The sequence below is a fragment of the Homo sapiens genome, chromosome 2, assembly GCF_000001405.40.
Source record: "Homo sapiens chromosome 2, GRCh38.p14 Primary Assembly".
Taxonomy (NCBI): domain Eukaryota; kingdom Metazoa; phylum Chordata; class Mammalia; order Primates; family Hominidae; genus Homo; species Homo sapiens.
This window is the reverse complement of record NC_000002.12, coordinates 55,507,164-55,519,700: the sequence shown is the minus strand read 5'-3', so window position 1 is coordinate 55,519,700 and position 12,537 is coordinate 55,507,164. Positions and strand designations below refer to the sequence as shown.

At 38.9% G+C, this 12,537-nt stretch overlaps 1 annotated feature.

Moving 5' to 3' along the window:
• Positions 633-682: an enhancer, noted in NCBI's record as "active region_15781". NCBI's record gives its function as "activates an Ori minimal core promoter by ATAC-STARR-seq in GM12878 lymphoblastoid cells {active_cell/tissue: GM12878}" and the evidence as "EXISTENCE:reporter gene assay evidence [ECO:0000049][PMID:35858748]".

Sequence of the window (12,537 nt, the reverse complement as noted above, 5' to 3'; positions counted from 1 at the left end):
GGCCCGCAGTCGCTCAGCCCCCAGGATAGAAGCTACCAACCAGTTAATGCAAAATGGTCGCTATGGCAACACACGTAGCCGCCCTAGACCGCGGCCCGGAAGTGAAGACAACTTTCCAGGAGCCTGCGCACTTAGCGGGGAGGGCAAACGTTTGAAAAACGTTTCTGATTGGTTAAAAAAGAACAGTGGACGAGGGCTGAGAAAAGAAGTGTAGCTATTGGCTGGAAGTCATAGACAGATTGCGCTCTCTCTTCTGATAAATGCGTAGGAGCCAAGGTTTAGAAAACGCGCAGTAGACGGGCGCGGTGGCTCACGCCTGTAATTCCAGCACTTTGGGAGGCCGAGGCTTGCGGATCACCTGAGGTCAGGAGGTCGAGACCAGCTTGGCCAACATGGTGAAACCTCGTCTCTACCAAAAATACAAAAATTAGCCTGGCGTGGTGGCGCCGCCTGTAATCCCAGGTACTCGGGAGGCTGAGGCAGGAGAATCGCTTGAACCCGGGAAGCCGAGGTTGCAGTGAGCCACTGCACTGCAGCCTGGGAGACTGCGTCTCAAAAGAAAAACAGGAAGAAAGAAAAGAAAAAAGAAAAGGCTCAGTGAGGGTCTGAGGTAACCGGGTCTCCACCTGACAGGGCTTCAGCGGCTGCAGTTCATCATTGTATCCCCAGCACCTCAGTCCCAACCATTTTCAGACCATTGGCCCAGAGGCGTTTGTAATTAAAGGGTTGTCTGAAAATACAAAGCCGAGCTGTGTGAGACTCGCTGATTGTCTTACGGTCAGTTTGCATCTGTATCTTCAGGCGGGTCTTTAATCTCTTACGCTTGGATAAAGATAACTAGAATTAGGAGCTTTTCAAGGGCAAGAGCAAAGTTAATACTCACTTAAATAAATGCCTTGGTAACCAAATCTTATTATAACTCCAACTCAGCATTTAGGTGGAGTCCATTGTGGAATGGGGTCTTCAGTGGTCATTGTGAAGGTGTTTGGAGTCCCAAAATATCTTCAGACAACCATATATATATATATATTTTTTACATAAATAGGATTATATGTACAGTTATGAATTTTTTTCTTATATCTTTATCTTTTAAAAATATAAATTTGTGCTTTCTTTGCAACTGCATAGTATTCCATAAACCATCCTTTAGTCTATTTTTATTTTGTGAATGTGCACACAGTATCTTACCTGAATGCATGAAGATGATCATTATGTGCCTTTTTTTTTTTTTTTTTTTTAGACAGAGTCTCGCTCTGTCGCCCAGGCTGGAGTGCAGTGGCGTGACCTCAGCTCACTGCAACCTTAGCCTTCTGGGTTCAAGAGATTCTCCTGTGCCTCAGCCTCCAGAGTAGCTGGGATTACAGGCATGTGCCACCACACCCAGCTAATTTTTGTAGTTTTAGTAGGGACAGGGTTTCGCCATGTTGGCCAGGCTGGCCTCGAACTCCTGACCTCAGGTGTTCCGCCTGCCTCGGCCTCCCAAAGAGTTAGGATTACAGGCGTGAGGCACCGTGCCTGGCCATGTGCAATTTTTTTCTTTTTCCTCCTCCGTGCTGTGGATTTGCCATTTTTTGCTTCCACAAACTGCTGTTATAAATGTTGCATCCTGAGAACTGTTGGTTTTATTTACTATTCCAAGGGATAGATTCCAGCAGAATTGCTAAATGAAAGAATATATATCTTGGTTAATTTGACCAAACCTCAACTGCTACATTAAATTACTTGAATTTTTTAAACCCGTAAACAATTGTGTAATGAATATACTTGCACATATGTTTTTGAACCCTAGTCTCATTATTTCCCTCGAACAAATTCTCATGGGAAAATTACTGAACTAATTATTTTAATTATTATTATTATTTTTTTTTTTGAGACGGAGTCTCGCTCTGTCGCCCAGGCTGGAGTGCAGTGGCGCAATCTCGGGTCACTGCAAGCTCCGCCTCCCGGGTTCGCACCATTCTCCTGCCTCAGCCTCCCGAGTAGGCGGGACCACAGGCGCCCGCCACCACGCCCGGGTAATTTTTTGTATTTTCGGTACAGACGGGGTTTCACCATGTTAGTAGCCAGGATGGTCTCGATCTCCTGAGCTCGTGATCTGCCCGCCTCGGGCTCCCTATTTTAAATATTTTTAAAAAATAGTCTTTGCCAATCTACTAGGTTAAAATGATAGCCCCCCCCACAGCCCTTTTTTTTTCTCGAGACAGAGTCTCGCTCTGTCACCCACGCTGGAGTGCAGTGGTGACATCTTCGCTCACTGCAACCTCCACCTCCCGGGTTCAAGCGATTCTCCTGCCTCAGCCTTCCAAGGAGCTGGGATTACAGGCACCCGCCACCAAGCCTGGCTAATTTTTGTATTTTTAGTACGGGCAGGGTTTCACTATGTTGGCCGGGCTAGGCTGGTCTCAAACTCCTGACCTCAAGTGATCTGCCTACCTCGGCCTCCCAAAGCGCTGGGATTACAGGCATGAGCCACCACGCCCGGCCTCATCCACACTCATTGTTCAGCATTAGAGTCTTTCTTTGTCTTCAGTCTCTTCCAAATGCTTCTCAATTCCACTGGAAGCAGATAACTATGATGTAAGAGTTTTCCTTTCTTTTATTTTCTTAGCCTTGTTTCTAAATCTCTAAATCTAAATGGGCAATGTGGATTCCTTCAGGCCTGCAAGTTCTCTCATTTGTTTCAAAATATTTTATTATTTCATTTTCTCCTTAAAACATAAGGCTTTTCTTTTTATTCATTGCTTGAGATTCTTATAAGCAGGATGCTTACACAGATTTGAGATAATGTATTCAATACGCTTATCATAAAATAAACTCAGAAGAACAGCTTGCACACTGTTAGAGCAATGCATATGGATGTACTGGGGCAAGAGTAAGAAGATAGCATGGGTGTGTGTTACGCATAGGTCATTTAGCAGTGTTTTCAGTGTTTCACAGTAATGCAAAGCACAGTCATCTCTTGGAAAATCACAACTTATTTTGGCAATTTTATTACTCCTTTTACTGTTCTTACCACATAGGAACAAATTTTAATGTTAAAGATATGTATAACAGGCCGGGTGCGGTGGCTCATGCCTGTAATCCCAGCACTTTGAGAGGCCAAGGTGAGTGGATCACTTGAGGTCAGGAGTTTGAGACTAGCCTGCCCAACATGGCAAAACCTCGTCTCTACTAAAAATTAGCTTGGCGTGGTGATGGGCGCCTGTACTCAGCTAATTGGGAGGCTGAGGCAGGAAAATCGCTTGAACCTGGAGACAGAGGTTGCAGTGAGCCGATATTGCACCTCTGTACTCCACCCTGGGCAACAGAGTGAGACCCTGTCTCCAAAAAAAAAAAAAAAAGATACATGTAACAAAACTAAAATAGATGCACACACATAAATAAATATATATACACAGTACATGACACACATACACACACCAAGCACTTTTACCATGGGGTTGATAAAGGCTAGGATTACAGGCGTGAGCCACCGCGCCTGGCTGAGAACACATATTAAAAGTACTTGGGATTATGCTAGGTACTTAGTAAATGCTTAATACATATTAGATATTGTTATTGTATGTAGTTTAGGTATCGGTTTGCTTAAAAATTTGCAGCATGAATGCAAGGAACTATTCATTTTATTTTGCCTCTTCTTTCAATGACAAATCATTTGTGTTTTTTGCTGCAGCCCTAGGAAATCTCTTGCTTCTCCCCATCCCCTGTACTGATACTGAGTGTCTGCCCTACTAAAGGAATATAAAATTCAAATCGTAACAACATGACTGCATTTTCAAGGACCTTGTGAATAACAATTATTCACATTTATATAGTACTTTACAGTTTACAAAGAGATTACATCTATTTGACTTACAGCAAACTTGTGAGCTAAATAAAGATGATATTAAGATTTTCTCCCTCTTTTAAATGGTGTATTAGTTTGCTAGGACTGCTATAACAAATTACCACAGACTGGGTGGCTTGAGCGGCAGACATTTATTTTCTGAAAGTTCTGAAGTCTATGTCTCTGATCAAGTTATTGGCAGGGTTGGTTTCCTTTGAGGCTTCTCGTCTTGGCTTGCAGATGGCTGTCTTCTCCCTGTGTCTATACCTGGTCTTACCCCTATACAGCCTATGTACTAATCTCCGTTTCTTATAAGCATATCAGTCATATTGGATTAAGGCCCCCTAATAACCTCATTTTAACTTAATTACCTCTTTAAAAACCTTATCTCCAAATATCGCATTCTGAGGCACTGTGGACTATCACTTCAGCATATGAATTTGAGGGTAACACAAATTCCACACATTAACAGATGGAAGAACTGAGTCTGTGAGGTCAAGTGTCTTGCCCAGGCTCAGAGCACAGTCAGGACTTGTTTTCTGTACTAGACACCTAAGCAACAAGGAAACTTCTAATTTTCACTTTCTGATATATCATGGAATTTTTTCCACATCATTGAAAACACTTCTACATAATCCTTTTTAATATTACCTAGTTTCCCATTGTGTGATCATAATTTATGTAAGCAATCCTGCATTGATCTAAGATGTTTCTTGCACTTTTTAAAAAAATATGCCTGGGAAACATAGCGAGACCCTGCCTCTGCAAAAGAAAAAAAAAAATTATCCAGGAATGGTGGCAAGCACCTGTAGTCTCAGCTACTCAGGAGGCTGAGATGGGAAGATTGCTTGAATTCAGGAGTTGGAGGCTGCAGTGAGCTCTGATTACACCACTGTACTCCAGCCTGGGCAACAGAGTGAGACCCTGTCTTAAAATAATAATAATAACAACAATAATAATAATTCTACTATGAGCACCCTTGTAATTAAATATTTGCCACTAACCTTTATCATTTTGTGAAGATGAATTCCTAAAAGTAGAATTGTTGAATCACACATTATGCGGCTTTTAAAGATACTTCTACTTACTTTTTTTAAGAGTTAAGTATTGCACCTCCTACAATAATCATGGTTAAATGTTAAGTAGTTATCTTTTTTATAGTAGTGTTTTATATTCATGAGTCTACACATCCATACACATGCACAGATATATCTCAGATAGTTTGGATATTGCAAAATTAATCAAGGAAAGACTATTGTGAATTCTGGAGGAGGCTGACTCATTAATTTCACGAGTGGATCTCCAACTCCAACACAATGTTTGGCACTGAGAAACCCTCATTGAATATTTGATGAATATCTGAATGATAATCTAAGAATATAGTGCCTTACATTTGCCTAAAAATAATCTATTTATCTTTGCTGCCCCTGGGAGAGATGGTAAAGTTGTAACTACTGCAAAACAGGATTTCATTTTGTTTTAACACTAACAAAACATGCTTACATTCTAGATCAGAGGGCTTAAAGTAACTATTAGCAATAGGCTTAAAAATACCCACACAATGGAAGTGTTATTTTAAAAAATAATTTATAGACCGTATAGAACGTCACTAATGAATTCAGCTTTCAAGAGCAGGAAAAAGGTCACTGCTTTAATCCTGTTAATTGCCTTTATTCTGGCTCTAGAAATTTTAGAAGTTCTAAATTATAAGTTCATTGCAAATATTCTTATTTGATTATTTGGCTCATATAACGGCAAAGGAATAGAGGAGGTTTCCATGGGTTGGCAAATAAATAATTACCTGTCATATTTTGAAATTCTCCCAATGAGTTGTTACCTTTTTCATTGCATTTGCAAATGTAACATCACAAAATTGCCATTGTTTTTTCAATTTTTTTGTTTTCTGTTTCTCATAATCTATAAAATATTCAGCAGCTCAATTTAAAATAGAGAAATAACAAAAACACATTAAGCTTTCAAATTGCAGCTAAACACATTAATTTGGTGTAAAATGCTATAACCTAAAATCCTTTCTTTCTTTACTCATTGAGTGCATACTATGCTTGAAGCATTAGGCTGAAAACATAGAACTACAGATGTGTTACATTCTAAATTCCAACTGTTTGACAATTTGCTTTTTTTTCAGGATAGAATGTGGTTTCTTCATCTCTAAATGTTTTGTGGGACTATTCCTGCATTTTGACTTCCCTTTCTTTATTCATTAAGGTTTTCCCCATTGTTTTATTATTTGATTTGTGTATAGGTAAATAATCATTCTGTCCGTTTTACTTTCTTCTCTTCTACCTTTTATTACTTACTGAGTTGACTCTTTCATGTGTCTTCCATTGTGTTTTCTCACCTATTTTCCTGATTTTTTTCCTTTTAAGTACTGTATTAGTGACTTTGGGGAGGACAACTAACTTATGGAAAATGTTTATGTCTACCTTAGCTCTAATTCAAGTTCTCTTAAAGGCAGCTTTGACCTAAATTAATGGACTCTAAACTCTTTTGATCAGATACTCCATCAATAAAAAAATGTTTGAACACTCCCCGTAATATATGAGTATATATTTATGTACAAATGATATACATGTAATATACATTTATGAATATAAATAATTATATAATGTATGATTTAAAAACAAAAGTTGACAATGGAAATTAACAAAGGATGAGATTAAAATATGTATGTTGATGTTCGCATACTTTTTCTCTGAGCATCAATGGATCATCTTGTGCACCCACTGTGGAGGCCACTAGCTTGGGCTTTATCCTTGTCAGACAAGTAAGGAAATCAATGAGTGTCCTATTTACTCTAGTCCCTTTTAGAATATTCTGGGGAAAATGATGATGATAACTTCAAGATTCATATTTGGAACCCAGGACATTGAGCTTAACAATAATATATGTGCCTTGAAAAAATCAAACATTACAGAACTACACAATGAAGAAAGTGAAAGTCTCCCATTTTTCTTACTATCTAAAGAAAACCATTGTAATTGTTTGGTTATTGGCCTCCACATTTTTTTAAATGAACATATTAACGTATATTATTATCTTCTTTAACCAAAATGTGGCCATTCTCATTTATACGAGTTGTTTCATTACTTAATTTTCCAAGGATATCTTTCTGTGTTGATAAAAAGAGATTTTCTTTTAAAAGGATGCATGGGCCAGATGCCGTAGCTCATGCCTGTAATCCCAGCATTTTGGGAGGCCAAGGCAGGCAGATCTCTCAAGCCCAGGAGTTCAAGACCAGCCTGGCAACATGGTGGAACCACCATCTCTACAAAAAAAACAATAATTTGTTGGGCTTGTTGGCTCCTGCTTGTAGTCCCAGCTACTCGGGAGGCTAAGGTGGGATGTTTGCTTGAGCCTGGGAGGTCAAGGCTGCAGTGAGCCCTGACTGCGCCAGTACACTCCGGCCTGGGTGACAGAGTGAGATCTTGTCTCTAAAAAATAATAAATAAATAAATAAATAAATAAAAGATGCATGTGTTCCATTGTATGATGTATCTTAACTTATTTAATAAGTACTTATTCATACTCATTCCCAATGTTTCGCTCTCATAAACAATGGTACAATAAACATTCATGTACATATATTTTTGCATTCTTCCCTGGGTGTTTTCATAAGATAAAAGTGGAATTCTGGGTGTAAGGATATGAAATGTTTTTGGAACAATAAAATTTTCCATTGGTATTACTTAATTGCCCTCCAAAAGATAGCAGTAATACCCTCCCCAAAAGATTGGCTGCTTATTTTCCCATATCCTCTTTAGCGCTAAAAGGTATTAGCGTTTCAATGTTCTTTTTGGTCTGGAATGAAAAAAAATTTTTACTTGTTTTAATTTGCCTTTGTTTAATTGTTAATGTGACTGAGGATTCTTTTATATATTGGTCACATATTTGTGGGAGCAATAATTTTTTGTTGTTTCTATTTTTAACTTTTCATTATGGAAATTTGCAAGCATACAGAAAAGAAACATCATGCTTTAAAAATTGTCAGCGTTTTTTGCCAAACCAAGACGTCATATTATTTTATATAGGAAGTAGGATTGGAAGATGTCATTTAATGCCCTTTTGACCCAGGCACTCACTCCTAATTCCTTGGCTTTCCATAACAAGTTGTGAACTGTCTTGCTGCAGTGAAAACGTAGGTGCTGATTTAGATCACCAGAGGGCAGACCACGGGAAAAAAGGGAAAAAAGGAAAGGAAATCAACATCAACCAAGATCCTGCTTCAGTGTGACCCAGAGGTCTTAGGGAGCTTGCTCTCCCATTAATATTGGAGAGGAGGGGAGATTAATCAGAGGCATTGTTTTAAACCGTAGTAATGCATTTAATTATCTGATAGTAATATATTTAATTATCTGAGAGTAATGTATTTTATTATCAGATAAAATATGTTTTCTCATGAATTTCTAATCATTCTTTTATGGCATCCAAAAATTATGTTTTAATTACAATTGCATCAAATCTGTAAGACAGTTTGAAAAAAAAAGGTCCTTATGATATTTATTTTTCCTGTTGAAGAATATGGTGTTTTCCCCATTTAAGTCTTCATTTGTATCTCTCAATCAGCATTGTAGTTTTCCTTATAAAGATCATGCATATCACTCATTTTGCTTGGGTGAGTTTATTTTACATACATTCTAATTGGGTTTTGATGATTTTACAGAAATATACTGATTTTAGCAGCATTAACATTTAATATCTTTTTTTTTTTTTTTTTTTTAGACAGAATCTCGCTCTGTCTCACAGGCTGGAGTGCAGTGGCATGATCTCGGCTCACTGCAAACTCCGCCTCGCAGGTTCATGCCATTCTCCTGTCTCAGCCTCCCGAGTATCTGGGACTACAGGCACCCGCCACCACGCCCGGCTAATTTTTTGTATTTTTTAGTAGAGACGGGGTTTCACCATGTTAGCCAAGATGGTTTTCACCGTGTTAGCCAGGGTGATCTCGATCTCCTGACCTCGTGATCCGCCCGCCTCAGCCTCCCAAAGTGCTAGGATTACAGGCATGAGCCACCGTGCCTGGCCAATATCTGTGTTCTTTTATTAATTATAGTAGTTATGAGGTGATTCTTTTTAATTTTCTTGCTATGCAATCATATATTCTAAAAAATATATATTTTTTGTTTTTGCCCTTCCACTGTTTCTCTTTTTTCTGTTTCGTATTTTATTACAGTCACTAAAGATGATAAACAATGTGAAATGTTTAATAATGATGATAAAGAATGAATCTTTAGGCCAGGCACAGTGGCTCACACCCTATAATCCCAGCACTTTGGGAGGCCAAGGTGGGAGGATTGCTTCAGCCCAGGAGTTTCATACCAGCCTGGGAAACATTTTGAGATCCTGTCCCTACAGAACATACAAATAAAATTAGCCATGTGTGGTGTGCATCTGTGGCCCCAGTTACTGGGGAGGCTGAGGTAGGTGGATCCCTTGAGCCCAGGAGGTGGAGGCTGCAGTGATCTGTGATTGCACCAGGGCACTCCAGCCTGGGTGTCAAAGGGAGACTCTGTCTCAAAAAAAAAAAAAAAAGACAAAAGAATACATCTTTACCAGGTATAACTGACTTTTTAAAATTTTTAAGAAAGGCTGGGCATGGTGGCTCACGCCTGTAATCCCAGCACTTTGGGAAGCTGAGCAGGCGGATCACCTGAGGTCAGGAGTTCAAGACAAGCCTGGCCAACATGGTGAAATCCCATATCTACTAAAAATAAAAAAATTAGCTAGGTGTGGTGGTGCAAGCCTGTAATCCCAGCTACTCAGGAGGCTGAGGCAGGAGGATCATTTGAACCTGGGAGGCGAGGGATACAGTGAGCCAAGATCATGCCACTGCATTCCAGCCTGGGTGACAAGAGCAAAACTTCATCTCAAAAAAAAAAATTGTAAGAAATACTCTTCATTATGCTTATTTTAATTTTTTTTTCACCCAGCCTGGGCAACAGAGCAAGACTCTTTGTCTCGAAACAAAGAAAAAAAAAGTTTTTATAGAGATGGGGGTCTCACTGTGTTACCCAGGGTGGTCTTGAAGTCCTGTGCTCAAGCAATTCTCCCACTTTGGCCTCCCAAAGTGCTGGGATTACAGACATAAGCCACCTTGCCCAGCCCAGGTTAAGGTTTTAATGTATTTTTGAACTGTTTGCTGGCATTTTAACTATTTTATATCTAATATTTATAGTAGGATTTGTCTTACTAAAATTTTTTGGTGTATCACATCTTTATTGAATTATAGTGTCAGAGCTATGTTTAGCTCATAAGAGAACTAGATAATATACAATTATTTTCTCTTTTGTTCCAGAAAAATATATAATGATTTTTATCCATGTCAGTATTATTTATATATTCCTAAGGCATTTCTGAAAAGAATGCTGTTTTTAAAATTTAAAAGTGGAAAATAAATAAATGTTTGTATCACAGTAGAGACATTTTATAATTCAAAACCCTTAACTGTTAATAGAGGTTATTTTTTTTCTACCCCTACATGTTAAAGAAGTGCCTACCAAACTCATCATAAAAGATTATTTCTGTCTGGGTGTGCTATGGGTTATACTATTATATAAAGCAGACAAAATCCTTTATTTTCCTCAGCTGTTCTGCTCAGTCACAGAAAGAATAAAATGATGCCTAGTTATTCAGCATCTGAAATGTTATACCAAGTCAAAAGTTGCTGCATATTTACTTTTCACAAGAAGCTATTGCATTTCTTAGGTGCTGGAAGATAATAGCCACAATAAGCCATTACATTTCTTACTAGCTTATAGATAATAAAATTCCAAGGAAGTCTTCCTTGGAAGAAAAAGGCAGTAAAGAATTTGACCCTTGTTTTATCTAGTTGTATATCTTGCCTCTAAAAGTAACTTTTCAAGCCAGCAAGGGTGTGTAAATAAAGAAAAAGAAAAAAAATAGAAGTAACTCATAGCATGGATAATTAAAAAGTAGTTGTGATAAACTTCCAGGTAAGTAATATTGATAAAGCTTAATTATGACCCTTTCACTCACAACTGGTCATACTCCATGACAGCATCAACAGAACTTTCTACCCTAATGAAAATGTTCTATTTCTGCATGTCCAGTGTGCTCTGTGTCCAGTGTGGCTCTTGAGAGCTTGAAATATGGCTTGTACAACTGAGAAACTGAATTTTCTTTTAATTTAATTTAATTTATTTATTTATTTTGAAATGGGGTCTTGCTCTGTTTTCCAGGCTGGGGTGCAATGGCACAGTCTCAGCTCACTGCAACCTCTGCCTTCTGGGTTCAAGCGATTCTCCTACCTCAGCCTCCTGAGTAGCTGGGATTACAGGCGTGCGCCACCACGGCCGGCTAATTTTTGTATTTTTAATAGAGACAGGGTTTCACCATGTTGTCCAGGCTAGTCTCGAACTCCTGACCTCAGGTAATCCGCCCACCTCGGCCTCTCAGATTGCTGGGATTATAGGTGTGAGGCACTGTCCAGGCCTATTTAATTTTAATTAATTTGAATTTAAGTAGTCACACGTGGCTAGTAGCTACCATATTGGACAGTGCAGCTTCAAAGTATGAAATTTACTCAGTATGAGTACATTAAAAACTTAGAATGTTTCACCACTAAACATGTCCTTACTATGCATACATAATTTTCATTTCTAATATTTTGACAGTTGAGAATCAGTATCAGTCTCTGCTCATGTCTCCAAAATTATTTATACTGGCATCTTAACAATTTGGTTTGACACTTACTTCCTATCTGAGCGTCCTTATTTTGCCATTCTGAGAAGGATCTGTTTTTTCCACCTTTGGCATTTTGTTGCTGTTGTTTCCCTTTGTTAACATTCTTTTAGCTCTGTCTGTACTTTTTGCATCTAATCCTACTGAATTTTTGCTATTTTTTTAATAGGTGATTTGGTTTAAATAATGGACATGAACATTTTGCCATGTATAAATTATGGATAATTATATCAAAAAATGGTCTTGGGTAAGCAGGAGAATCGCTTGAACCCAGGAGGCGGAGGTTGCAGTGAGCCGAGATCATGCCACTGGACTCCAGCATGGCGATAGAGCGAGACTCAGTCTCAAAAAAAAAGAGAGAGAAAACAAAAGAGTTTACCAGGCCGGGCATCCCAGCACTTTGGGAGAGTGCCAGTTATATCCATCTCCACAGGTTCCCTGAAGATCTCATTCTTATGACTAGTTATCTCCTTCACTCTAGAATCTAAGGAATGGTTTACAACTATTTATGGGTTCTTGTGTCTAATCTTTAAATTGTATTCTTGTTTTGTTGAGCATCCAGGGACATATTAGTTAATCATTTAGTCCTGGCTGTCTTGTGATTTTAAAAAATGCCTTTGGCGGTCGGGTGCAGTGGATCAAGCCTGTAATCCCAGCACTTTGGGAAGCCGAGGTGGGCAGATCACTTGAGCCCAAGAGTTTGGGACCCTCCTGGGCAACACGGGGAAACCCTGCCTCTACAAAAAAATACAAAAATTAGCTGAGCGTGGTGGCATGCACCTATACTCCCAGCTACTTGGGAGGCTGAGGCAGGAGAATCACTTGAACCCAGGTGGTGGAGGGTGCAGTGAGCCAAGATTGAGCCACTGCACTCCAGCCTGGGCGATAGAGTGAGAACTTGTCTCAAAAAAGAAAAAAAAAAAAGGTTTACAAAAAAAATTTTAATGAGAACTGTAAGAATTGAATCAACACTTTAGTACTGAAATTACACC